The 27,847-nt window shown below is 36.3% G+C and overlaps 1 long non-coding RNA gene across 2 annotated transcripts; it reads right to left on the bottom strand.

The window, feature by feature from the left end:
• LOC105370210 (uncharacterized) lies at positions 1 to 27,373 on the bottom strand. Of its 2 annotated transcripts, none has more exons than XR_001749881.1 (3): positions 26,052 to 27,373; positions 5,980 to 6,115; positions 1 to 128 (listed from the first exon to the last, which is right to left on the bottom strand). It is a non-coding gene; the product is annotated as an uncharacterized LOC105370210 (long non-coding RNA). The 2 variants fall into 2 exon arrangements; XR_941972.2 differs by lacking the exon at positions 26,052 to 27,373 and adding an exon at positions 8,370 to 8,402.
• Between the last annotated feature and the right edge of the window lie 474 nt (positions 27,374 to 27,847).

The following is a 27,847-nucleotide window of genomic DNA, read 5'->3' as shown; positions in this document are numbered from 1 at the left end:
TTGTTATAAAATAATAGCTAAGGCTGGGTAATTTATAAAGATAAGTTTATTTAGATCATCGTTATGCAGGTTGGGAAGTTCAAGAAGCATGGTGTTGGCATCAGTAAGCTTCTAGTAAGGGTCGTGTGCTGTATCAAAACATGGCAGCGAAGGTCAGAGTGGAAGTGGATATTTGCAAAGAGATCACGTGGTAAGAAAAGGAAGCAAGAAAGAGAAATTAAGCAAGGAAGTCAGACTCCAACAATCTATGCTCTTGGGAACTAATTAATTTCCATGACAGCAAAATCTCACTCACCACCACCTCCCCCAACCTCCACCTTGGGGATCTGTCCCATGACCCAAACATCTTCCACTGAGCCTCACTTCCCAATGCTGCCACATGGAAGATCAAATTTCAACATGAGTTTTGGTGGGGACAAACCATATCCAAACCATAGAAGACATTAAAAGAAACCTATAGGTCTTTAACTCTTATGAATATAGATGTAAAAACTATTTAAATTTTTTTAAAAATCCAATATAATATAACAATATGTAGAAAAGACAATACATTACAACCAAGTAGATTTTATCCCAGGAATGGAAGATAAGCTTAATGTCTTACAGGAAAGGGAACATCACACACTGGGGCCTGTTGTGGGGTGGGGGGAAGGGGGGAGGGATAGCATTAGGAGATATACCCAATGTTCCATGACAAGTTAACGGGTGCAGCCCACCAACATGGCACACGTATACATATGTAACAAACCTGCACGTTGTGTACATGTACCCTAAAACTTAAAGTATAATAAAAATAAAACCTACATCAAAAAAAAGATCAGTCAACGTAATCGACCATATTAACAAACTAAAAATGAAAAGTATATGATTATCTCAATAAATGCAAACAATAATAATTTAACAAAATCCAAAGTGTATTTCTCATCAGAAAATCTTAGCAAACTAGAACAGTAGGAATCACCAAAAACCTATAACTAACAGCATATTTAATGATGAAAGCATGAATAACTTTTCTCTAAGAGCCTTAATAAGACAAGAATGTTCACTCTTATCACATTTATTCAATGTTTTTCCATAGGTTCTAGCCACCACAATGGGTCAAGCAAAAAGAAGTTTTAAAAACATCCTTAATGGAAAGGAAGAAATAAAGTGTTTTTTGTTTTTTGAGACGGAGTTTCACGCTTGTTGCCCAGGCTGGAGTGCAATGGCACAATCTCAGTTCATTGCAACCTCCACATCCCAGATTCAAGCAATTCTCCTGCCTCAGACTCCTGAGTAGCTGGGATTACAGGCATGCACCACCTTGCCTGGCTAATTTTATATTTTTAGTAGAGACGAGGTTTCACCATGTTGTCAGGCTGGTCTCAAACTCCTGACCATAGGTGATCTGTCCACCTCAGCCTCCCAAAGTGTTGGGATTACAGGCATGAGCCACCACGCCCAGCCAAGTGTTTCTTATTTGAAGACAACATGACTATCTATGGAAAAAACAATTATATGAACTTTATTTTAAAAGTACTAGAACTATTAAGTTTAGCAAGATTACAGGATCCGAGATAATATAAAACAGTCAATTGCATTCCTATATTCTAGCAACAACAGTCAATTGCATTCCTATATTCTAGCAACAAACAATCAGAAATTGGAGTTATAAAACACATAATTTATGATGACATCAAACAGTATTAAATTTATAGGGATAACTCTGGCAAAAGATGTTGAAGACTTGTACACTGAAAAGTACAAGACATTCCTTAGAGGAACTAAAGAACACCCATATAAATGGAAAGATAAACCATGCTCATGAATCAGAAAACTCGTTATAGACAAGAGATTTTTTTCCCAGTTAATCTGTAGATTCAGCACAAGCTCAATCAAAAGTGAGCAGCTTTATCTGTAGAAATTGAAAATGATTCCAAAATTCACATGGAATAATAATGAGGCTTAAGTAAACAAAATGTTTTTGAAAGAGAATCATAAAATTCTGTGAGAGAAGACAAATTTTCAAAAGCAATCAATCAATAAAGGATAGTCTTTTCAACAAATGCTACTGGAACAATTGGATAGCCATATACCAAAAAGAAGAAGACAAAGAGGAGGAGAGATGGGGAGAGGAAGGAAGAACTTTGAGCCACATAAATATTAACTCTCAAAATGGATCATATACCTAATTGTAAAACCTAAAGCTATAAAACTTACTATAGAAAAAAAATAGTAGAAAATATTTAAGATTTTTTGTTAAACACGGCTTCCTTTGCAACAACACCAAAAGCACAATTCATAAAACTTTTTAAAAAAACAATAAAATTGGCAATTTTATTTCATTAAAATTAAGAAAGTCCTCTTTGAAAGGCACTGTTCAGAGAAAGAAAACATAAATCTCAGACTGGGAGAAAATACTTGCACATCACCAATAATTCTCAAAATTCAATAATAAGAAAAAATAATAATCCAATAAAAACAAGAGCAAAAGATTTGAACAGGTGCTTCATAAAGAGAGTATATGGAGCTCAAAGAAGTACATGAAAAGATTTCTAACATCAGTGTAGTTCAAGCCATATTGGTACCTGAAATGAACAAATCAGTAATATTAATACTATATTTAAAATTTAATATTTTGTTTATTGTGAGTATTTTGCAGTAATTTTTTAAAAAACATTATACTAGAATATGATTTATGATGATGACTGAATTTTTTGGTATCCCTTTAAATTTTATGTCCAAAGTTAATGTCTCATGCACCTCATCATATTGTCTCTGCTTAAAATTATTAGTTATTAAATAAAAGGAAAATAAAACCCACAATTAAATATATCTACACACATATTAGAATGTCTAACATTTTTTAAAAGATTAATATTTTGTAATGTTAGTAAGAGCAAAAAGTGACTTGGACTCTCACACACTGGAGATAGGAGTGTAAAGTACTATAAGCCCCATTTTGAAAAGCAGTTTGTCAGTTTCTTAAAGAGTTAAACATACTGCTACCATATGACCAAATTGTTCCACTCATATATTTACCCCAGATAAGTGAAAGCATATTTTCATAAAAAGACTATATACAAATATTAACAACTTAATTGGCAATGGCCAAAAACTACAAACAACCAAAATGTTCAACACATAAATAGATTAACAAACTATAGTTATCCCTAAAATGGAATACTGCTCAGCAACAAATAGGAATAAAGTACTATTATGTGCAAAAACAGATAAGTCTCATAAATATTATGCCATTTGGGAAAAAACAGAAAAAATAGCTACTATATGTTTCCATTTACATAAAATTCAGGAAAATATCAAGTAACCTATAGTGATAGAAAGTAAATCAGTTTGCTTGGGGTGGTGGAGGAAGTTGCAGGGAGAAGTGGGAGGGAGATGACAGAGGGGCACAAAGAAACTTTTAGTGGGAATAATATGAACCTTGTCTTCACAGTAATGATGGTTTTTCAAGTCAGCACATCTGCCAAAACTTATGGAATTGAACACTTAAATTTTGTACCGTTTATTGTAGGTCAATTACACCTTAATAAAGCTGTTTAAGAAACATATGGTTGTATAAGAAAGAAGTCATGTCTTACTCTATTCCTTGATATATATCATTTAGAAGTGTCAAGGGAGATGTCTGGAAGTAATCAGTGTTGGACTCAAGAAGATAATACATTACACATGGTGAAAAAAGAAATACAAGTGAAGTTCAGGGTACAGAAAAAGAGGCTGTTATTTTTCATTATAAGGCTTTTATATATTTTTACTTCAAAATTATCTATAGTGTATTGGTTTAATACAATTTAAAGTAACTTTAAAAAACAAAATGTTGGTGTTCCTGTAAATTCTAAAACTTCTTGAAAATTCTGAAATTTCCTGACAGAAATTTTGATGCAAGGTAAAAGTTAAAACTCACATAATTTTGGTGGTGCCTACAATAATACTAAAAAATACAAGATAACAGTGTGTAAAATAAGTTAAACTTTATTATTTTATGCTAAGAGCCACTGATTATTGGCCCTGTTGTTTATCTAGAATTATCTAGATGTTAAACAAATGCTATTCATTTTCCCCTAAAATAATAGTTCCTGAAATATTAGGAAACCACCACTAAACTCCAAAGTACTTTGAATATGTTGGTCAAAAAGCCATAATTTTATACCTCCTGGGAAGTTCCCAAATATGAAAAATACTTTATCCCTTTCTTTGTTTGATCATACAGTACTCTTTTTTTTTTTTTTTTTTTTTTTTTTTTTGAGACGGAGTCTCGCTCTGTCGCCCAGGCCGGACTGCGGACTGCAGTGGCGCAATCTCGGCTCACTGCAAGCTCCGCTTCCCGGGTTCACGCCATTCTCCTGCCTCAGCCTCCCGAGTAGCTGGGACTACAGGCGCCCGCCACCGCGCCCGGCTAATTTTTTGTATTTTTAGTAGAGACGGGGTTTCACCTTGTTAGCCAGGATGGTCTCGATTTCCTGACCTCATGATCCACCCGCCTCGGCCTCCCAAAGTGCTGGGATTACAGGTGTGAGCCACCGCGCCCGGCCTACAGTACTCTTATATTAAGGAAGAAGTATGCTCACTGTATGGGAAAAGATAGCATTTTATTAAAAGTAAATAAACTTCATTCATAACAGTTGTTAGTGGTGACCTCTGAAATAACCTCGGTGTCAACATCATACATCAGGGAGCTGTGTAATCGCAGGCTACTCATTTAATTTCTTTGCGTCTTACTTCCTCAAATATTAAATGGAGAAGTTAAACTAGTTCTCTAAATCTCTCCTGGCTTTAGGTGTATTTAGTTCTATGATATGATGACTAAAGGCTATATTTTATTGAATCTAAAATACCATTGATTTATACGATGTATTATTATTTACCTACCACAAATAATAAAATAAATGCCAAGTAAACTACATTTTACTGTCCTTTGAGATTTTTGTTTTAAATGTATTGAAAGAGCATTTAAAAACACATTAGGTTTGGCTTTCCTCCCTCCATGTAGTGTTCTTGTTTATACATTGAAAAGGGAAGTATAAATTAAATAAATATTTAAAGGTTTTGCAAAACTTCTTGGTATTCAGAAATCAATTCTTCCAAACTACATTTTTTACTCAGCCAAGAACATGGATGCAGCACTTCCTAAAAGAGCATTCTGCTATTTTTTTCAGGATTTTCTCCAAGCTATTTGTATACATTATTCAAGATTTCATATTGGTGCATTCTTAGAAGAGTTTCAGAATAGCAATCTCACATTCCTTTTTCAAATAGTTCTTAAATGATGTGTTGATTAACATGTCAAGGAGTTACACTTTTTCAGTTATGCCAATACATTCAAATATGGATAGGCAATGACAATCATGGCAAAACTGTCCCCAGACACCATTAGCTGGAAAATGTTCTTGATTTCAGAGGAGTTAAATATGAGGGAAAACACATTCATCTTAGAACTGATGAAATATGACAATAGCAATGAAGAATCAGTGAAGTATATAAATTACTAACTTAGAGATTTATGGCAGCTATACTAATTAAATTAACGAAGGCTCAGGACATATGCCCATGGACAGTCTACCTCCTTCTCTCTCTCTCTCTTTCTCTCACACACACACACACACACACACACACACACACAGAGAGAGAGAGAGAGAGAGAGAGTGACATAGAGAGAGAGACGTGCATGGCTTAAGTAGACCAAGAATTAGGATATGTGCAAGAAATATTCTTAATATAGGAAAACACTTTTCTCAATTTAGATAGTTTGTTTCATCAGAGTATTAATGATTTTAATCATACATTAAATAAATTGTGGTTATGCTCTGTGCAAGGAAAAATTTGAAAGAACAATCAAAATATACATCATCATCTTAACCATGTAATAATTTCTGGTGTGCATGCCTCTTACCTATACTAAAGTATGAATACAAACATTTAAATACACAATTTCCATTTCTCCCATCATAGTGATATCATACATTCTCACCAATGAGCTACCTCTAATGGAAAAATTCTCTGTTGATTTCTCCATCCCAAGTAGGCTCTATGTTTTGCCTGGTCAACTGGATTTCATCATATCTCATTGCTTGAATGAATGTTGGTTCCTCTCAGGAGTCAATAAGGACTGTTTCCTCTAAGAATTAGAAAAGCAAAGCATTGTAGGGTCATTAGCAGTATTATTGCGGGGCAGGCTGTAAATAGAAAATAAATATACATGGGTCTTCATCACTTTTACCGAAAATGAATTGGCAGAAAAAAATACCCAGCTGATTGGTAACAAAATATGTATTTACTTTTGCTTGCTCAAGCTTGGGAATGAGTGCAGAAGCAAGCTAGCTCTGGGACCAATTTCTCTCTGCCCTTGCTGCCCTGCAAATGACATTCTTATCAGACCATTAAGAAAACCGTTATAACTTCTAGTGAGACCACCTGCTAGGTCTCAGCGCTGGGACGATTACATCTATCGGAAATAATGACCCATAACTAGAATAAAACACATTAATAACATCACATTTACCCAGGATAATGCCTTTCACCATTTTATATCGCAGAGACCAAGTTAATCAGTAAAAGCAATACCAAAAAACGAAGCAACTAACAGCACAGAGTAGATAATGAATATAAAAGCAGAATGTTCAGGCTATTTTTTTTTCCTTTAGAACTGAGAAGATGTATAATGGGCAGTAATGGATGGAGCATTCGGTTGAGAATGGCTAATCCTACCTTCTGTCTGTGGCTTTATATGTTAAGGAAGAGCTGAAAGTGCCTTCCTTCAGACATAAGAGAAAACATGAGGTTGTGCAGTACAATGGAAAGAGCCCTGGATTAGAAGTTGGGAAACCAAGGTCTTATTCCAGCTGTGTTGTTAATGAGCTGTGTGACCCTGAGCAATTCACTTCACTCTTCTGAGTCTAAATTTCTTATCTGCAAAATGAGCCGCTTAGATGAGGTGATCCCTGAAATCCCCTCCAATTCTCATATGTTGTTATTCAAAGCAGACTGTCAACCTGACATGGGAATGCTGTGAGATGTAATAAAAATGCCTATAAAACCTTGAAGCTTCAGGATCCTCAGAGCTGCAGGCAAAAAGGGTAAGATTGCAATGGCATTTAGGAGGCTACTTCAACACTGGACCCAGGCCCTGGTAAAACACGGAGACTTTCAAGAAACAACACACCTGAACCACAGCAAGGCAAGCCTATGGTTCTTCTATTACTTACTTTCTTAGGCAAGAGCTTGGGTTGACTATAGTTTATTTCGGAAATTTTCATATGTAGAATTACAGGACAAAACTAGCCCGAAATAAAACTGCGAATATACAACCTAAATAAACCTCAATTCTTACAATATATAATGCACAAAATTTAACCTAACAATTCCATATTTTTGGAGTGTAAGGAAACACGAGAACAGGAAATTATTTAAGGATTTTGAAGCCCTTGATCTTTCATACTTTTCTGTTTTGTTTCTGTGACTAAGAATGGTCGTCTTAGAAAAACACATTTCCTAACTCACTGCAACAGCATTTCCACTGAGACATAAAGTAATCAGAAACAGTCATGAGGAAATGCATATGATGAAACCCAAAGATCTAAAGATTCCAAGGCCAATGCCTAGTGTATGTCTTATCTTCTTCATCCTGGTTTGTAGATACTCAGTTCTCAGGACTACTGTCAATATTTTGAAGGAGAAAAGTCAGAGTGACCTTTTCATTTTAATCAAGATGCAAAGTGTTGAGTTGATTTTACGGAAAGGGTAGAAGTGGGTACAGTACATGCTGGCATTTTACATGCAGAGAGCTGCACTGACACCTGCACACCAAACCTTCTGGGACATTAACAACTCTAATCTTGCTACATAATGCTCTTTCATTTTAGCCTCGCATTATTACTTGAATCGAATTTTAAATTAGTCCACTTTAAGAACAAATTACCAAAAGTTTAATTTTCCTGTTTTCAACAAATCCCACTACAAGCACCAGCCACCTGAAGCCAAGTGAATTGTACAGTTTTGTCCAAATGCTAGTGTATTAAATATTAAAATCAACTAATTCTCCCTCAAAATAAATGTGCAGCCCATTTATACTAACATTCTTTGGTCAATCCATATTTTAGCCAAACATAATCAGAAATGGTTCTTTAGTCAAGCTCTCCTTGTTACCCCAAAATAAAATACAGAATATAATAGAAAAGCTGATAGCTTCTTGTAATGAAGGCAAAGTGACTGAAAAAAGATGTAAAAATTAATGATATCTGGCTGACATTATTTAAATAGACAATGGCTCTATCAATAAAAAGAAACCCTAACAAATGTGTTTCATGACAGAAATATATTAACCACTTTTCATCATCTGGAACCTTCATAAATCAATAAGAGATAATATTTACTCTATCCTGCTGGGGTGGCTTTTTGTATTTCTAATAGAATTCATTTAATTCTGGTTTCCATAGTTACGACGGAGTTTTAGAATGAGTTTGTTTCATCATAATTGCTGCATGTTCGTATATAAACAGCTGAACTCTACCTTCAACTAGCAGCATTCATTTGTGAATAAAGAAAATCTCTTATCATAAAGTAATTGAACTAGAATTCAAAATATACCACTGAGTCCTCGTCCTCCTCAGAGAGTTGGCAAATATGTCTCAAACTTCTTTTTAGCATAGTTATCTCTGAAACCCACATCAGTAGTACAAGAAGAATTTGGAGGAAGATTAAAAATGTTTAAAGTGTTGTGGATATTTGCAGAATTGAAAATAATTTATTTTTGGCCTGTACCATAAGGCATAAAGAAAATTTTGTTTCTTCTAATTGCAACCTTCGATATGTCTTTTTACTAGATAGTTGTCAGTTCATGTAAATATTACATTTGAAATGTGTTCTTTCCCAGCCAGTTCAGTGCCAATTGGTTCAATATAACTTTATCCATTTAAAAAGCACAACAGCCAGAGAAATTACTGTTAAGCCTGATATCTTTTTCACATTAATTTCAAAAGCCACAGGTAAAGGTAAAGTAAAAGAAAATAAAAATGTATTCTTTCTTGTTACTTGTTTAAGGTAGCAAAGAACCAGAAAACGTAAAATCAAAAGGGAATAATTGGATCCCACCGCTTGGGTAACAGGGTATTTAGAAATCACAAGGTGTAGTATTTGTGCCCAAAGCAAAGCTGATACAAAAATTTCGTGGACAAACAAATCTATGCCAGTAGTAAGTAAAATAACAGTTAAGTTAAAGATACAAACTTTAATTTTTTTTTTTTTTTGAGAAGGAGTCTTGCTCTGTCGCCCAGGCTAGAGTCCAGTGGTGCAATCTTGGCTCACTGCCACCTCTGCCCCACCAGGTTCACACCATTCTCCTGCCTCGGCCTCCCAAGTAGCTGGGACTACAGGCACCCGCCACCAAGCCCGGCTAATTTTTTTGTATTTTTTAGTAGACACGGGGTTTCACCGTGTTAGCCAAGATGGTCTCCATCTCCTGACTTCGTGATCTGCCCACCTTGGCCTCTCAAAGTGCTGGGATTACAGGCGTGAGCCACCACGCCTGGCCCTACCCTTTAATTTTTTAAAAACAAATACTTCTATTTATCACTAAGTTTTTTTCAGATGTATTTATCCACTTGTAAAATTCTACAGTGATGAATGTGAAATCCAAAAGAACAAGTCATGAGAATATGGAAGGACAAGCAACTTAAAGTAAAATTGTCTTTTCCCAAATGGCAGCTTTAAACAAATAGTCTTAGCCATGTTAGTTTGAGAGATACACAAGTTTTAAATAACTGTAGATACCTCAATTATTCTAGAAATGAAAATAGAAATACTTTCACTTATTTGCCTTATACTTTTTCTATTTAGAGGTTACTATTCAATATATTCTACTTGAAACTCTTTATTTTCTTTATATTTGTAGAATGTATTGATTTTGAGGGGAACCATTTTCCTATGTATATGTTAGATTTGAGTTGTGACAATTTGCATGAAATTCTATTAAAATGCATGGTTTTGAGCATGAAGAAAATGATGTGCTAATAATTCAAGACATACAGTGGTAAATAAGACAGTTCTTGCCCAAAGGAACAGATACTAGAAGAACTTAGAAAAAGAAATGGGGAGATATGTTGTAATAGGTAATATTATATGTTGTCATGAGTCACTTAATGACAGAAATACATTCTGAGAAATGCCTCTTTAGGCGATTTTGTCCTTGTGTGAACATCATAGAATGCACTTATACACATCTGGATGGTATAGCCTCCTACACAACTAGCCTGAATGGTATAGCCTATTGCTTTTAGGCTACAAACCTGTACAGCATATTACTGTACTAAATACTGTTGGCAACTGTAACACAATGGTAGGTACTGTGTATGTAAATATAGAAAAGACACAGTGAAAGTATGATATTATAATCTTATAGGACTACTGTTGCATATGCAATCAGTCATTGACCAAATCATCATTATGCAGCACACGATTGGTTCCATAATATGGGCTGGTTTTGGAATGTGGTAAAGGAAAATGGAGCAGAGTTTGTTGTGAGATTCAACACAGCAAAGAGATATAACCTTAGAAGAATTAGAAAAGGCTTCAAGAAAGAGGTAGTGTTTGAATTGAGTGTCCTATTAAAGGTAAAGTCAACAGGCTAAGAATAGTGAGAAACATTCAGAAAAAAGGGAAAATATTAGCAAAAATAAAATTGATGACCAGAACAGGGTATGCAAAAGTTTGTTCCAGAACCTGGACCAACTTTTAGATGTTGTTATAACCAAAGGCAAGAGTATTAGTCTGTTTTCACACTGCTAATAAAGACATACCCAAAGACTAGGTAATTTTCAAAGGAAAGAGATTTAATTGACTCATAGTTCAGCATGGCTTGGGGGGCCTCAGGAAACTTACAGTCACAGCAGAAGGGGAAGCAAACACATTCTTCTTCACGTGGCGGCAGCAAGGAGAAGTGCTGAGCAAAAGGGGGAAAACCCCTTATAAAACCATCAGATCTCATGAGAACTCACTCACTATCATGATAACAGTGTGGGGCTCCCACAATTACCTCCCACCAAGTTCCTCCTGCAGCATGTGGGGATTATGAGAACTAAAATTCAAGATGAGATTTGGGTAGGGACACAGCCAAACCATATCAGAAAGTTATTAGAAATACATTTTGATTTTGGCCAGGCACAGTGGCTCACGCCTGTAATCCCAGCACTCTGGGAGGCTGAGGCTGGCAGATCACAAGGTCAGGGGTTTGAGACCAGCCTGGCCAACATGGTGAAACCCCATCTCTACTGAAAATACAAAAATTAGCCAGGTGTGGTGGCGGGCACCTGTAGTCCCAGCTACTCAGGAGGCTGAGGCAGGAGAATTGCTTGAACCCGGGCAGCAGAGGTTGCAGTGAGCCGAGATCATGCCACTGCCCTCCAGCCTAGGCAACAGAGCAAGACTCCAACTCAAAAAAAAAAAAAAAAAGAAAAGAAAGAAAGAAAGAAAAAGAAAGCCATGCAACATTTGTGAAAATTGTAAGACCTTTTTATAAATTGAGGGTAAAGCATCTTTCCACCATGCAGCAGGGGCCTTGGGAGAGGAAAGGCAATGTTTGAGTGATGCCAGGAAGCCACTGCAGAGGTAAAGAACTAGCTTTGAAGGCAGCCTGTTTCTGTGTGAATACTTGCTCTAGGTGAAACTAGAAAGTTCCTTAACCTCTTTGTGCCAGTTTTCTGATATAAAGGAGGATTATTAATAGCATTTACAATTTAGTATTCCTAAATTGTCATAAGTATTAAAGGAAAATATGGACAAAACACTTAGACAAACATCCTGCAAATTGAAAGTGTATATTAGTTCTTATTATTATTGTGTAGAACAGAGCTGAAAATATTTCAATACAGATATAAATATTGTTTTGAAAACTGTCTTTTTTCCTTATAAGTAATATCATCCTGCTCTGGAATATCTAAGAATTTCATTAATGAGGGGAAAATATAGTAAACTAAGCTGGTCAATTAAAGATAACATCCAATTTAAAAGTATTCTTCAAGTTTCTTTTTTCTTGTTGCAGTGGTTCTAGAATCTGGCTATACTTTTTAATCATATGAAGAATTCTCAAAGGTAAGAATGCCAGGATGCCAACTTCGGAGATTGTAAGTTAATTGGCCTTAGCTTTAAGGAATTTTAAATGCTTCCCAGGTGAATCCAATGTGCAACCAAAGTTGATAACCTCTGATCTAATGGTTACATCATCTACCAATTTGAAACTTAAAATCCCCATGAGAGCCATTCACCCCTTCTCACCAGGGTTTTCTCTTCATTATATCTTTACCCATAACATTGGTACTGGGGAAATTGTGACACCTCATAGTGATGTAGCTTTGGTTTGAGTCTTGACTATTCTCCCCTACCATGAGTTTGGTCCACTTTTATTGTGAGAAGCTTGCACTGATGCCTACTAATGTATAGATCCAGTATGAACCCTGCCTTCCCTGTCCTGATATCAGCCCACATAGCAATTAATCTTACCTAGTCTTGGTAGGCACTTTGCTTGACCTGCTGCTAAGGCCCACAGTCTCACACATGTGCCACTTAGGCTCTCTGCTGGTCCCTGGTCCTCTTGAAACCTCCCTAAACCCCCTACTCTATTCTCAAAGCCATGCACATGAGAACCCTTGGGTAGCTTGCAAACTCTGTGCAAGCCTTGGTGGCTTATGATCCTTTTACAGGTGGGTCTATCTAGACATCCCTTTCTCTATGCTCTTGCTCTCTCTATTCCTCTTGGGCAACATTGGAAGCAAAAGAGAGAATAATCTGGGATTTGACCAGATTTATATTATCTTGTGGCTGAGACCTAGGAGTGTAGATTCTAGTTACACACAAGGGACTCAGGAGTCACCTCACTCTAGTCCGTCCTCTTCTGGTGCACCTCTTCCTTCCCCACTCCTCATCTAGTTTCTATTATCCTCTTTGCCACATGCTTCTCATTTCTATTATTAATAGCTTGGCATTGGTCATACGCTTTCTATACTATAGCTTAAAGCAAACTCTGTGATCGAAGTCTCCTTGGGTTGCCTCTGGAAATAAAAGGGGGAAATTTCTGGAATTCAGAAAAATCTTTTTCTGTTAGTGAATCCTGGCGTACTTTCTCACCACAGGGAGAAAACCCTTCATTTGTAGTCCAAACTTGAATAGTAAAAAAATTATCTTTGTTTTCTAGCCCTAACATTTCTGCCTAAATCCTTCCTGAGGCAATGGATATATCTGGCTGAATCAAGGGACAGCCTAATACAAGGAAGTATAAATAAGAAAAGTACATTAATATATTTCAAACTATATTATTCCCATGATATTAGTAATTGCAAATAATTCCAGCACGAATCTTCCACTTATCTTGAAGCATTTAAACCTTCTAGCTCAGTAGACAGAATAAGCTTTTTTCAGCCTCATGCATTCATACCACTGTTTTTTCTTTCTATCTCTCTCAATTCAAATCTGTGTGTTAACTCTTATATATTACTCTCTAGATACTTTCTGTATGTGTCACAGCATGCCAATATATTCTAAGCATTTAAGAATAGGAATCCTGTCTTGACTATCTGTTTTAGTCAGCTTAAGCTACCATAACAAAAATACCATAAACTAAGTGACTTAAATGAAAATTCACTTCCTTACAGTTCTGGGGCTAGAAGTTCATAATCGAGGTCCATGTAATTTGGTTTCTGGTGAGGGCTGTCTCTTTGTGTTGCATGTGGCTGTCTTCTCACTGTGTCCTCACATGACCTCTGTGATGATGTGAGAGAGTGCAAGCTCTCTGGTGTCTCTTCTTGTAAGGGCTCTAATCCCATCCTGAAGGCTCACACTCATGACTTCTCAAAGATTACACCTGTGGGTGTCACCATTTGAATTTTGGGGGAAAATAAACATTCAGTCTATAACACTCCATCCTTGGCCTTCAAATAAATCTGCATGCTTCTTATATACAAAATACATCATGTGAGGCTATCTCAACAGCCCCAGAAGTCTTAGTCTTAATTCATTCCAGCATCAACTCTAAAATCTAAGGTCTGAAGGCTCAACTAAATATTATCTTAATTTGCAGGTATGTGTTAATATCGATGTAAAGATTTATCCTGAAGCAAAATTTCTCTCCAGCTGTGAATTGGTGAAACCAGACATGTTATGTTCTTCCAAAATGTAATGGTTGAGACAGGCATGTTCATATCTGAGGAGTTCTATGGTCTGGTGCTATAGAATCCAAGTCCAGCAGCTATCTTTTATCTCATCTAACATTCTCTGTCCCCTTTAGTTCAAGTTGGCAGTGTTTAACTGACATAATTCCATGTTTATTCCTGTCTTCTATTGAGATGGCTGAGCCCATGAGTAGCATGGCTGATCTCTTTTTCAAATCAAGGTTCATGCTCAGACGAAAAGAATGGCATATTCTGTTTTTATTGGGTGGAGGGTCCTGTAGATGTCTGTTAGGTCTATTTGATCAAGAGTCAAGTTTAGATCCTGAATACTTTTGCTGGTTTTCTGCCTCAATGATCTGTCAATTACTGTTAGTGAGGTGTTGAAGTCTTCCACTCTTATTGTGTGGTTATCTAAGCAACTTTGTAGGTTTCTGAAAACTTGTTTTATGGCTCTGGGTGTTCCAGTGTTGGGTGCATATATATTTAGGATAGTTGAGTCTTCTTGTTTAATTGAACCTTTTATCATTAGGTAATGCCCTTGTTTGTCCTTTTTGTTCACGGTTGATTTAAAGTATGTTTCATCTGAGGGAACATATCTCAGTAACAGTGTTCTATCTTACTCATACTGAATGGGAAAAGCTAGAACTATTCCACTTGAGAATGAAGCAAGAAAAGGATGCCCACTCTCACCACTTCTGTTGAATATAGTACTTGAAGTCCTAGCCACAGCAATCAGGCAAGAGAAAGAAATCAAAGGCATTTAAATAGGAAGAGAGAAAATCAAACTATTTCTGTTTGCAGATAATATAATTCTATACCTAGAAAACCCCATAGTCCCTGCCCAAAGGCTCATAGAGTTGACAAACAAATTCACCAGTTTCAGGATACAAAATCAATATATAAAAATCAGTATCATTTCTATACACCAGTAAAGTACGAGCTGAGAATCAAACAAAGAATGAAATCCCATTCACAATAGCAACAAAAAAGAATAAAATACTTAGAAATACAGCTAACCAGGGAGGTGAAAGTTCTCTACAACGAGAATTACAAAACAGTGATGAAAGAAATCAGAGATGATGCAAACAAATGGAAAAAAATTCCATGCTCATGAGCAGGAAGAATTAATATTACTAAAGTGGCCATAGTTCCCAATGCAAATTTACAGATTCAGTACTATTACTATCAAACTACCAACATCATTTTACACAGAATTAGAACAAAACTATTCTAAGATTCATATGGAACCAAAAAAGGCCCAAATAACCAAAGGAATCCTAAGAAAAAAGAACAAAGCTGGAGTTATCATACTACCCAACTTCAAACTATACTAAAATCCTACAGTAACCAAAATAGCATGGTACTGGTAATGGTACAAAAACAGAGGCACAGACCAATGGAACAGGTTAGAGAGCCCAGAAAGAAAGCCATGCACCTACAGCCATTTGATTTTTGACAAAGTCGAAAATAACAAGCAATGGGGAAATTACTCCCTATACAATAAATGGTGCTGGGATAACCGGCTAACCATATGCAGAAGATTAAAACTGGACCCCTTCCTTTCACTACATACAAAAATAAACTCAAGATAGATTAGAGACTTAAATGTAAAACTTAAAACTATAAAAACTCTAGAAGATAACCTAAGAAATACTATTCTGGACATAGGAACTGGCAAAGATTTCATGACGAAGACACCAAAAGCACTTGAAACTAAAGCAAAAATTGACAAGTGGGATCTAATTAAATTAAAGAGCTTCTACACAGCAAAAGAAACTATTGACAGAGTAAACAATCTACAGAATTAGAGAAAATATTTGCAAACTATGCATCTGACAAAGGCCTAATATCCAAAATCTATGAAGAACTTAAGCAAATCACCAAGGATAAAAACATTAAAAATGGGCAAAGGACATGAACAGATAATCCTCAAAAGAAGACATATAAGTGTCCAACAAGCATGTGAAAAAATGCTTAATATCACTCATCATTAGGGAAATGCAGGTTAAAACCACAATAAGATACCAGTCAGAATCGCTATTATAAAAAGTCAAAAAATAACAAAATCTGGTGAGGTTTCAGAGAAGAGGGAATGCTGCTACACTGTTGTCGGGAATGTAGATTAGTTCAGCCACTTTTGAAAGCAGTTGGGAAGCTTCTCAAAGAACTTAAAACAGAACTATGATTTGACCCAGCAATCCCATTACTAGATACATATTCAAAGGAATATAAATCATTCTACTATAAAGACACATGCATGCATATGTTCATTGCAATGCTTTTCATAATAGTGAAGATATGGAATCAATCTAGATGCCCATCAATGGTGGACTAGATAAAGAAAATATGGTGCATACACACCATGGAATATTACACGGCTATAGAAACAAACAAAATTATGCCCTTTGCAGCAACACACTTGGAGCTAGAAGCCATTATCCTAAGTAAATTAATGCAGGAAAAGAAAACCAAATACTGCATATTCTCACTTATAAGTAGAAGCTAAACATTGAGTACACATGGACACAAAGAAGGGAAAAATAGACACTGGGTCCCACTTGAGGATGGAGGGTGGGAGGAGGTTGGTGAGGATCAGAAAACTACCTACGACATATACTATGTTCATTACCTGGGTGATGAAATAGTTTGTACACCAAACCCCGGTGGCATGCAATTTACCCATGTAACAAAACCCCTGAACCTAAAATAAATTTGGAAGGGGAAAAAATAAAAACACATACACAGACCACAATAACAATACATCTTCAAAGCACTTAGTTGATTATTATAGTTGAGCCCAAGAATTATGTGAAGAAAGCCTCACTGATACATATTCGTAAGTCTTTAAAAGGATTCATATAAATATAAGATTTTTCAGTGTCCTCAGAAACAGTAATAATATTTAAGAAAATAAGACATTGATCTACATTCAAACTGTTGTTGTTATTAAATGTAACCAAAAGACAAAACAACCACTTTGAATATACTGGAGTACAGATGTTAGTGATATGTTAACATGATACTACTCTTTTTGTGAGTTGTGGTGGAAGAGTAAGCACAGTAACTGTAGCAACCTGAAGCTCCTTTTAAATAAAGAAGTACTAAGAAAAATTATGCAACTTCTTTTAGATTACCTTTAGTTCAAAGTGAAACGGTATGAGAAGGGATGAAAAACCCACAAGACATTAGAATGATAAATAATAATAGTGTCAAACCTACTATACTCCAACATCTGAGATCTGCTGCTTGGGCATTAGTTGCAATTAATAAACATAGTATTGAAAGAGAAGCTCTGGCTTTATCCTAGTGGTTTAATGTTGTAGGGAATAATAGCCCTGCCTCTTCTACCAGATCACATAAAAATGGAATATGATATCAGAAAAAGACAAATGCATGTTCAACCATATCCTTAGTATTCTCTTAAGAATGAATGTTCTCATTTTTTGAAGTATGAATAGGCTGAGAATTTTCCAAATCTTTATGTTCTGGTTCCTTTTTGCTTAACAATTTTTTCCTCAGTTCATCTCTTTTCTTTCACATTTTACTATAAGAGATCAAGAGGAACCAAACTATTCCTTTAACAATTTGCTAAGAAGCCACCTCAGCTAGATACTCAATTTTGTTGCTCACAAGTTCTACCTTTCACGAAACACTAGAACACAGTTCAGACAAACTCTTTAACAATTTTTAACAATGATCACCTTTCCTCCAGTTTCCAATAATACATGTCTCATTTCTGTCTGAGATCTTATCAGAATTGCACTTCGTGTTCTTATTTCTAGCATGTTTCTCAAAACCCATCCCAAAAACCGACATCAGCAAGATGGTAGAATAGGACTTCCCAGCCCATATCCTTCCACCAAAACAGCAACTTGAACAACTATCCCCATACAAATACAACTTCACAAGAGCTAACAAAGCCAGGTGAAAGAATACAACACCTGTGAGTAACAGAGAAAATTTAAAAGGTGAATTGAAGAGGTTAGAAAGGAAAGTTTTATATTACCCAAGTTTTCTCTCTCCGAATCCCAGGCAATACAGAATGGAGCGGAGAGAGGGAAATGAGCACTAGACTTTTCCTCAGACTCTGGGTTTCTAGGCCTACCCCAGGGCCAAGATGGTCTGGCAGCCCCAGCCTCCAGAATATTCTCAACACCTGTCTGATCCACGAGGCCTCAGGCCTCAGGCCTGCCCTAGCATCAAGCCAGCTTAGAAACTCTAGTCATCTGGCCAGCACTTGCAGATCCAGTCTTCAAGCCAGTCCCTCTGGATACAGGCTCCAGGTCCACCAGCCCCAGGCAAATCCCTGAAGCTCCAGGCTTCAGACCTGTCCCAGATTTCAGACTATCCCAGAGCATAGCCTCAGGCTTTGTACCCTTTGTACCCTTCCCCCCAGTCAACAACACTAGCCTCAGACAGCAGGCTGGCACCCATGGACACAGGCTCCAGGCCTACTCTAGCAGATCCAGGGTTCATGTTCATTCTACCCCAGTGCCAGGCCAACCCCCATGGATGGAGGCTCCAGGTCTGTCCCTGCAGAGCAAGGACTCAGGCCCAACCCTGTGGACTCAAGTCCCAAGCCTGTCTCAGTGCCAGGTCAGCCCCCATGAATTCAGTCTCTAGACCCACCTAGTGGCCGCAGGTGCCTTCCCCATCCCAGCAACTGTCAGCTCCTTTGGACCCAGACTTCAGACCAACCTCTGTTGATACAGGCTCTAGACCTACAACATAGACCCAGGCACCAGGCCCACCCACATTCTGACCCAGGCACTAAGACAGCCTTGCTGAGGTCTCTAGCAGCAGGCCCATCTATGGGCCATGCCAGACAGGCTGCCTTGAATCTCTGGATGGGGTGACTGGTGAAGGGCTTTCCTAAACAAAGCCAGTCTACAAAGACTGGAATTCATCCCTATTTCTTCAAATGTACACAGATCAACATAAGGCAATGAGAAACATGAAAAACCAAGGAGACACAGCACCACCAAAGGAACACAATATGCCAATAGCTTGCCCTAAAGAGGTGAAGATATGCAAAGTGCCTGACAAAGATTTAAAGATAATTTTTTCAGGGAAGCTCAGAAAATTTCAATAAAATACGGAGAAATAATAAAATAAAATCAGTAAAACAATAAATGATCAAGATAAGAAATTTAACAAAGATTTAAATTATTTTAAAAATTCAGACAAAATCTGGAGCTGAAAAACAATGAAACAAATAAAAAATGCAATAAGAATGTCACCAGGAGAATTGATCAAGCAGGAATATCTGTGAACTTGAAGACAGGTTATTTGAAAATATACAGTCAGGAGAAAAATAAAAAAGGATAAAGAGGAATGAATAATGCTTATGGTATTAATAGCAGGGCATCAGAAGAGCAAATATTTAATTTATAGGAGTTTGTGAAAAAATAGAGAGACAAAGGGATAGAAAGCTTATTTTAAAAGATAATAGCAGAAAACTTTCCACATATTGGAAAAAATATAAATATCCAGATACAGAGTACAGGAAGGCCAAACATCCCCAATCGGATTCAATCCAAAGAAGATTACATCAAAAGATATTATAATGAATCTGTCAAAAATCAAAGACAAAGAAAATATCTTGAAAGCAGCAGGAGAAAATAAGCAAATAACACATAAGGGAGTTTCAATAAAGTTAGCATGAAATCTCTCAGCAGAAACCTTACAGGACAGTAGATAGTGGGACAATATATTCAAAATGATTAAGAAAAATAACTGCTAATCAAGAATACTGAATATTAGACCCACTTGTATGGTTCCTGAAAGAGACTCACTTCAAATGTAAGGATACACATGGATAGCAAATAATAGATGACAAAAGATATTCAATGCAAATGGAAAGCCAAACAATGCAGGGGTGACTTTACATGTAGAGTATATCTTATCCACAATGCTTGGGACCAGAAGTGTTTCAGATTCCAATTTTTTTTGGGGGGAGGGGAATTGGAATATTTGCATTATACTTACTGGTTTTGCATCCCTAATCAGAAAATCTGAAATCCAAAATGCTCCAGTGAGAATTTTCTTTGAGCATGGCCATTGAGCATCATGTAGGCATTCAGAAGTTTCAAATTTTGGAGCATTTTGGATTTCACGTTTTCAGATTAGAGATGCTCAACCTGTACCGTATACCACAAGTACCATTGTTACCATTTTGGTATATTTTCTTTAATGAATTCAGAATAGATTATGATCAAATACATAGCTGCCATTTTCACTTTAGAATATTGTGAGGATATGCTCATGCTATTAAAATGTCTTTGAAAGTGCTTGTTTCAACTGTTTTTACTCTTATAAATAAAACTGATGAAAATAGCAACAATATGAACAAAATGTAATATTACTTAAATTTATAATTGCCATGCACAAGGCTAACACTTTAACATGTATTATGTCATATAATCCTCACAGAAACTGTCAGTCATTATTAGCATCATATGCATTTTATAGATGAGGAACCTGGGAGATCCGATGATTAAAATAATATGGCCCTTAACACAACAAATATAAAGATGTCTTCTGTGGCGTGTGACACTACATTTTATAGTTACTAAATCTCTATTTATGTTTGAGTGGTGTGGACAGTGGGACTCCTGTTATAAAGTGATTTGTGTGCATGTGTTCTTGCTCACTCTAGGCTCAATTATGCACCACTCTTCGAATGAGGGTGTGAACTTTTCTGCCCAACACCTTATGTAAAACAGCCTGGCAATCCCCTCCAAGGGAAGGGTGAGTGAAGTCAAGGGCCAGCCATAGACCCTGTCTACTAGCACCACCACTTTTGAATATGCCTCTCTTTACTCCACCTCACACAGATAGCAGGACCCACCTGAAGCACCAGGCATACCAAGTGACCTACATGTAGGACTGTAAAGTAAGTGGCCCCACCCATGCTGCCCACAACACTGACAGAGAACGTTTTTACAACTCTTCATCCTTGGTGTTCTCATGAAACTCCAGAGTAACAAAGATAAAGTAATAGACAGAATAAAGACTATTATTCTCCCCCAATGAGTACTGCTTTTCTTATCCCTTCTATTCTCATCTTATCCTAAAGATATCTTGAATAATGCTCTCCAAATGGAAATGAGCTAACCAGAGATGGACTTATTAAGTAGCCAAGTTCTTTCTCCATAGAAACCTAACTTGCGGATTTTTAAAAAATATTTTTCTCCAGCTGTTTAATTTAGCTTAGTGTTCATCCAACAACAACAACAAAAGAAAAAAACGGAAAAGAAAACCTCTACCAAATAATATGAATACCCATATATAGATTTTTCACATTTGCTTTCAAATCTAAAAGAAAATAAGATTTGAAGCTAATTTACAGTGATATAATACCTTATCTTTTGACTAAGACCTGAATCAATGAAAGTCTTCACAATTTGAGCTAACATGGATTGTGCTTGAATTAGGTTAGGTAATGTCTAACATTATCCACTTCAATTTATATTCACCAATAATTGCCATAACATGTTTATTCTCTCCCAGAATTCTGCTACTAGCTTCTCTGCCCTGGCCTCTGACTTAGCCTGCCAGTGTGAAGTTTGTCTTGGTTCATTAATACCTATGTAGGTTTCTGACTTGCCTCCAAGTCACGGAGAGGATTTGTGGCTCTGTAAAGCTCTTGCAAGCATCTAATCCGTGAGGGTCCTTATAGCTGTGCAGGAGTCACCTCTGGCTCTGGGCTGCCTGTATCCACAGGCACAGCTGACTGGTTTTCCCTTGGGTCTCAAGGCCAGGCATTGCACTAGACCCAAGACTCTAAGGCTGAGTAAGAAACTGAACTCCTTAGGAATGGAGGAAAGCCTTTAAGCCTTTTTACCTTATTTCCCAGCTCTTCTCTTTGGGGTAGTGAGAGCTACAGCAAACAAAGACTCTATCTCTCTTCCCTGTAGAGTTTCTTGACTAATATTAAAGCCATCTCAAATATCCAAGTTCTGCTATCAATTTTATTTCTGATCATGTTGTTTGCGGCTATTCTTTCCCACCAGTCAGGACAGACTTGTCCATGGTACCAGTGCATTTCATTTCCTTTATTCATTCTCAAATCCCTCCTGCCAATACACTTAAGGATTCTATAAAAAAGTCACTCAAGTTTCTCTTACGTATTTCCTTCTCACATGGTCTAGTTTATTGAAAAAAAAAACTAGCTTAACATTTGAAATAGATACAAAAGAAAAAATCTATACCAGCTAATAGAAATATCATCATCATCATCATCATCATTATCATCATCTCTAACAATTACATAGTATTAAAAGGTACCAGGCACTAATATAACCGCTTTACACATATGAATTCTTTCATTCCTTACAAGTTAACAGGGGAGGTAATAGTATTGTCCTTATTTTACAGATAAGGAATCTACAGCACAGAGAGAATAAATAATGTGTGCAAGGTCACAGAAACAGTAAATCATAAAGGCAGCATCAAAACTGGATTCAGACACCCTGCTCTAAACCCCAGCAACATGCAGCTTTCCTACAATGTCAATTCTTGATGGCTTCCACAAATCACTATTTCATGTAACCAAACACTCTGTCTTTTGAGTTTGTAATTCTCTCCTGAGTGTGTATCATGGTGTATTTACCCTAAAGGGATACTCAGTGAGAAATTCAGCAGGTATGACTGTCAAGCAGGCTAGTATAAAAACTGAGTTTGAATGTCCACAACAGAATAGAAACTTTGACACCTGCATACCAACATGTAAACTATATCAAAACTTTTTTTTTTATTTGCAACATTTATTTTAAGTTCGGGGGTACATGTGCATGATGGGCAGGTTTGTTACATAGGTAAATGTGTGCATTGGTGGTTTGCTGCACAGATCATACCATCACTCATGTATTAAGCCCAGCATCCACTAGCTATTTTCTTCCTGATTCTCTCCCTTCTCCCATCCCTCACCCTCCAATGACCCCAGTGTGTGTTTTCTCCACACCATGTGTCCATGTGTTCTCATCATTTTGCTCCCACTTCTAAGCCAGAACATGTGATATTTGGTTTTCTGTTCCTGTATTAGTTTACCGAGGGTGATGGCCTCCAGTTCTGTCCATGTCCCTGCAAAGGACATGATCTCATTCTTTTTTATGGCTGCTTAGTATTCCATGTTGTATATGTACCACATTATCTTTATCCAGTCTATCACTGATGGGCATTTAGGTTTATTCTATGTCTTTGCTGTTGTAAATAGTGCTGCAGTGAACATATGTGTGCATGTGTCTTTATAATAGAAAAATTTATATTCCTTTGGGTATATACCCAGTAATGGGATTGCTGGATCAAATGGTATTTCTGTCCTAGGTCTTTGAGGAATCGCCACACTGTCTTCCACAATGGTTGGACTAATTTACACTGCCACCAACAGTGTAAAAATGTTCCTTTTTCTCCACAGCCTCACCAGCATCTGTTATTTTTTGACTTTTTAATAATAGCCATTCTGACTGGTGTGAGATGGTATCTCATTGTGTGGTTTTGATTTGCATTTCTCTAATGATCAGTGATGTTTAGCTATCAACAACTTTTATGTAACAGTATGGAAAGCATTGCCCACATTTTATGGAGGAGAAAACTAAAGCTCAGGACATTCAAATATCTTGACCACCATCACATATGTAGTGGCTGAACTATTTTATTATAAATTGTATATTCTTTTCCATTTTAACACAATTTCCATTCAATAAAGATAGTCTAGTAAATTGCATAAAAGTCATAACATACTCTAACAAGGTACTCTTACACTTAATCCTAGTGGAAATTTTCCACATCTCCATGGCCTTCTCCTCAAATTCAGATTACCCTCCTGAGACATTCAAATGCAGGCAGTGGCCTAAGGTGGAGGTAATAGGAACTGTTAGATGGACCAGGCAAACGTTACACTGAGACAGTCTATCATGTATGCTTCACAGCCACACCCTTAAAGTTTTCTGTGATTCCACAAACAGCTGAAAGTATTTTCTTCAATTTCTCTAGTCTGCTCATTCAGTGACAGAACATACAAACTGACTTCTCTGCTAGGGGATAGCCAATCACTTTGACCAAAAAACATTTGCAAAGGGCAAAGTTTCACTATTCACATTTTTTAGAGTCATTATGGTGTGAAGTACAGAAAAAAAATCTTTAAAAAAGCAACAGTCAACTAATTCAAGTCCACTGATAGTAATTCACTATCAGTGTGAACATGGGAAAATATCCCCCAGCCCCAGTTTTAGTTAATTCACCTGTAAGTATATAAGAATAATATGTATTGATAAAAAAATATGATTTTTAAATTTTAAAAATTAAAAAATAAAATAAATAAAATAAAAAGGAAAGAGGAGGTGGAACAAAGTTTGAAAGTGCTAATGTCTATCTTTCAAATCATACAGACAATAAGTATATTCTTTAAAATTAAAAAATCTATATATGAGGTGGGAGGATTGCTTGAGCCCAGGAGTTCAAGACCAGCCTGGGCAATATAGTGAGATCTAGTCCCTACAAAAAAAAAACTTAATTAGGCAGGTATGGTGGCATAAACCAATAGTTCCAGCTACCCAGGAGCCTAAGGTGGGAGGAACACTTGAGCCCAGGAGGTCCAGGTTGCAGTGAGCTGTGATAGCACCATTGCACTCTGGCCTGGACAATAGAGCAAGACCCTGTCTCAAATACATATATGTATATATATATATATATGCTTAACATTTATGCCTAACTCTAGGCTCTATTATGCACCACTCTTTGAATGAGGGCTTGAACATATATATTTTTATTATTTACATATATATAATACATACATATGCATACACTTAATATTGTTATAATTTTTGGGATTAGAGAGAGGCAGTAAATGCCACTGTATCTTCCACTGTAGAGTTTAGAACCAGCTAAGAAATAAGAGAAACGAAAAGGGCAAATCCTTATCAAAGTGCCTGATTTGTTGACAAAACTGTTCAAAGACCATAACTTTAGTTCTGCAGCTAGGTTGGGTTCCTTGAATGTCTCCAATATTGGGCATGATTTTCCTCTACTTACAGGTAGAGTAAAATAAGGTCTAGCCGCTGGCATCTAGCCCAGATGGAAATCTACTCCTGTGTCCTGAAGACATGTGAGCTCTGCCAAGAGCAGACCCAGAAAGCACAAAGCCATGCATGCTAAGCTCCTTCTACAAGATTTATCAGTAAGATAAGTCAATAACTTCCCTCAAAAGAGGAGTCAGTGAGGAGGAAGAGCTGAAAGTGTTCCTTTAATATTTTTCTTCTGTGGAGTGGAAATTCTCTCCTCATTATAAATTCACAAAGATGATGTTTTCAGCTAAGAACTCTCTTATGCATACCTAATTGCATGTTGAATATTTCAATTTGGATACAACACAAGTACCTAAAATTTAAAAGCCTGAAATTGAATTAGTAATCTTATTTCTTAATTTATTCCCCCTCTAAGGTGCCCCATCTCCATAAAAGATACCACCCCCCTTTCAGGGACTCAGACCAAAAATCTAGGCTTTCCTAATGCTTCTCTGTCTGACTTTATTGAAGTAAACACGAGATCTTACTTAATTCTACCTTCTAAATATTCCATATAAATCTCAATTATCTCCCCATTCCCACTATCATCATTCTCTTCCAGGACATTATCTTCTCCTGTATTTTTGTCTTATGTCCTATTTTTCTTTTTCTACTCCTGCCCTCTACCTTATCATTTACTTGAACTAATTCTCCTAGCAATGCCCAAATTTACTTTCCAAATATGTAAATTGAATTCCATTTATCTGATGCCAAGCTATGATTTCTTCAGGTTTCAGCTTAAATCTTATTTTTTTCAGGAAGGACTTTATAATTTTCTGTAGAGTTAGTTTACAGAAACTTATTATTTACTTTGTCTTATGATAATACTCACCATACTTTACTTTAATTGCTTTTAATATCTGTCTTCTCCACTAGCTTCTGATTTTCATCAGAGAAGATACCAGGGTCAAATTGTTCACAACTGTACACAGAAATTCAAGCAGCATAGCTGAAGCATAATGGGAGCATAAAAATATTTAATGAATGAGTGAGCTCTGAATTATATTAATCTTTGCTGATATTGAAAATCTCTAATATGAACTGTAAATGAATCAGTCAAAAACCTATGACCAGTCAGCCAGTCAGCTTGCAGAAATGATAGTCTAAGAACTTATCAGATTTTTCTCCTGCAGAAAATAACTATAAAATCTGGAAGCAATACAAAAAGCAATTCCATAAAGGTACTAGAAGTTAAAAAAAGCAGACAGATTCTGGCATGAGTACATACTCAGAGGAAGAAAGCTGGGTGATTTACAAATAAGTTCCCATCTTTATGGCTTTTAGCTTAGGAAAGTAGAGTTGGTACAGTGAGATGCTGATTGAAAAAATATAGTCTCTGTTGCCTAGGTAACCAGACAACTGAAGCAAAGTGAAACATGGTTGTTGAAAACAGCAATGAAATCTCAGAAAGAAAAGAGAGAAGGGGGATTCCCCATTTGTGTCTACCCACATCTCTGACTGAGGACTGGGCTGTAAATATTTAGAACAAAGCAAAGCAGAATTTCAGCTAAAGCAGAATTTCAACTCACGTAACTCTGAGCTGAAAGCAAAGCTACCACCCGAAAATCTGGGTTTTCTCTTTGTGTCCAGATTTTTTTTAAATGCCTGCTCAGAAGGGGAGGAGGAAGAGGAAGAAGAGAAACAACAATACTAGTTGGAAAAAAATAATAGAATCCTGAATATTCACAACTTTATACTCATAATGTCTAGGATATAATCCAAAATTACCTGATGTCTAAAGAACCAAGAAAATGGAAAATATTCTCAAGACGAAAGAAAATCAACCTTGCTCAATCCCTAAATGAACACAATGCTAGAACTACCAAATGATGAGTTAATGATTACATTTTAATGATAACAATACTATCACATCACATTTCAGTGCTATAGCAGTTAATCTAATTAACTGTTAGAACTTTTCTAAATAAAACAAAGTAAAATAAGTGTATGATACATTTTTTAAAATCCAGCAAAGAAATAGAACATATAAAGAAGAACCAAATGGAAAGGTGAGAACTGAAAAAATACAATATTGAAATTTGAAAATCACTGGATGGACTTAACAGGGAAATAAATATTACAAAGGAAATAGTACATGAACTGAAATGTACATCAATAGAAATTACCTTAGGGACTTCTCATGAAAACCATGGAGGCCATTAAGAGATTGTAACACATCTTTAAAGAGCTGAAACAAACAAAATCTTGCCAACCAGAATTTTCTAACTAGTAAAAATATTTGTCAAGAATCCCAGAAAATAAAGACATTTTGGATAAAACAAATTAAGAGCATGTGCTGTCAACATTACTGCACTAAAATAGATGCTAAAGGAAGTTCTTCAGGCTAAAGGCATATGATGTAACATGAAAACTTAGGCTCTCAGAGCAGAAGAAAGAACATCAAAAATGTTATATATCTGGGTAAATGTCGAAGACTTTTTTTCTTTTTGATTTATTCCTCTTAAACCATACAACCACTTAGAACTAAAATTATATTATCTTATGGACTTTATAAATGTATTTAGATGAAATTAATATTATGATATGCATTAATTTTCTTTTGCTGCCATAATAAATCACCAAAACTTAATGGATTAAATGCACAAATTTATTATATTACAGTTCTCT

This window comes from Homo sapiens, chromosome 13 (genome assembly GCF_000001405.40).
Source record: "Homo sapiens chromosome 13, GRCh38.p14 Primary Assembly".
In the NCBI taxonomy this organism is placed as follows: domain Eukaryota; kingdom Metazoa; phylum Chordata; class Mammalia; order Primates; family Hominidae; genus Homo; species Homo sapiens.
Note: the sequence above shows the minus strand (reverse complement) of the source record. Positions and strands in the feature narration are given on the sequence as shown.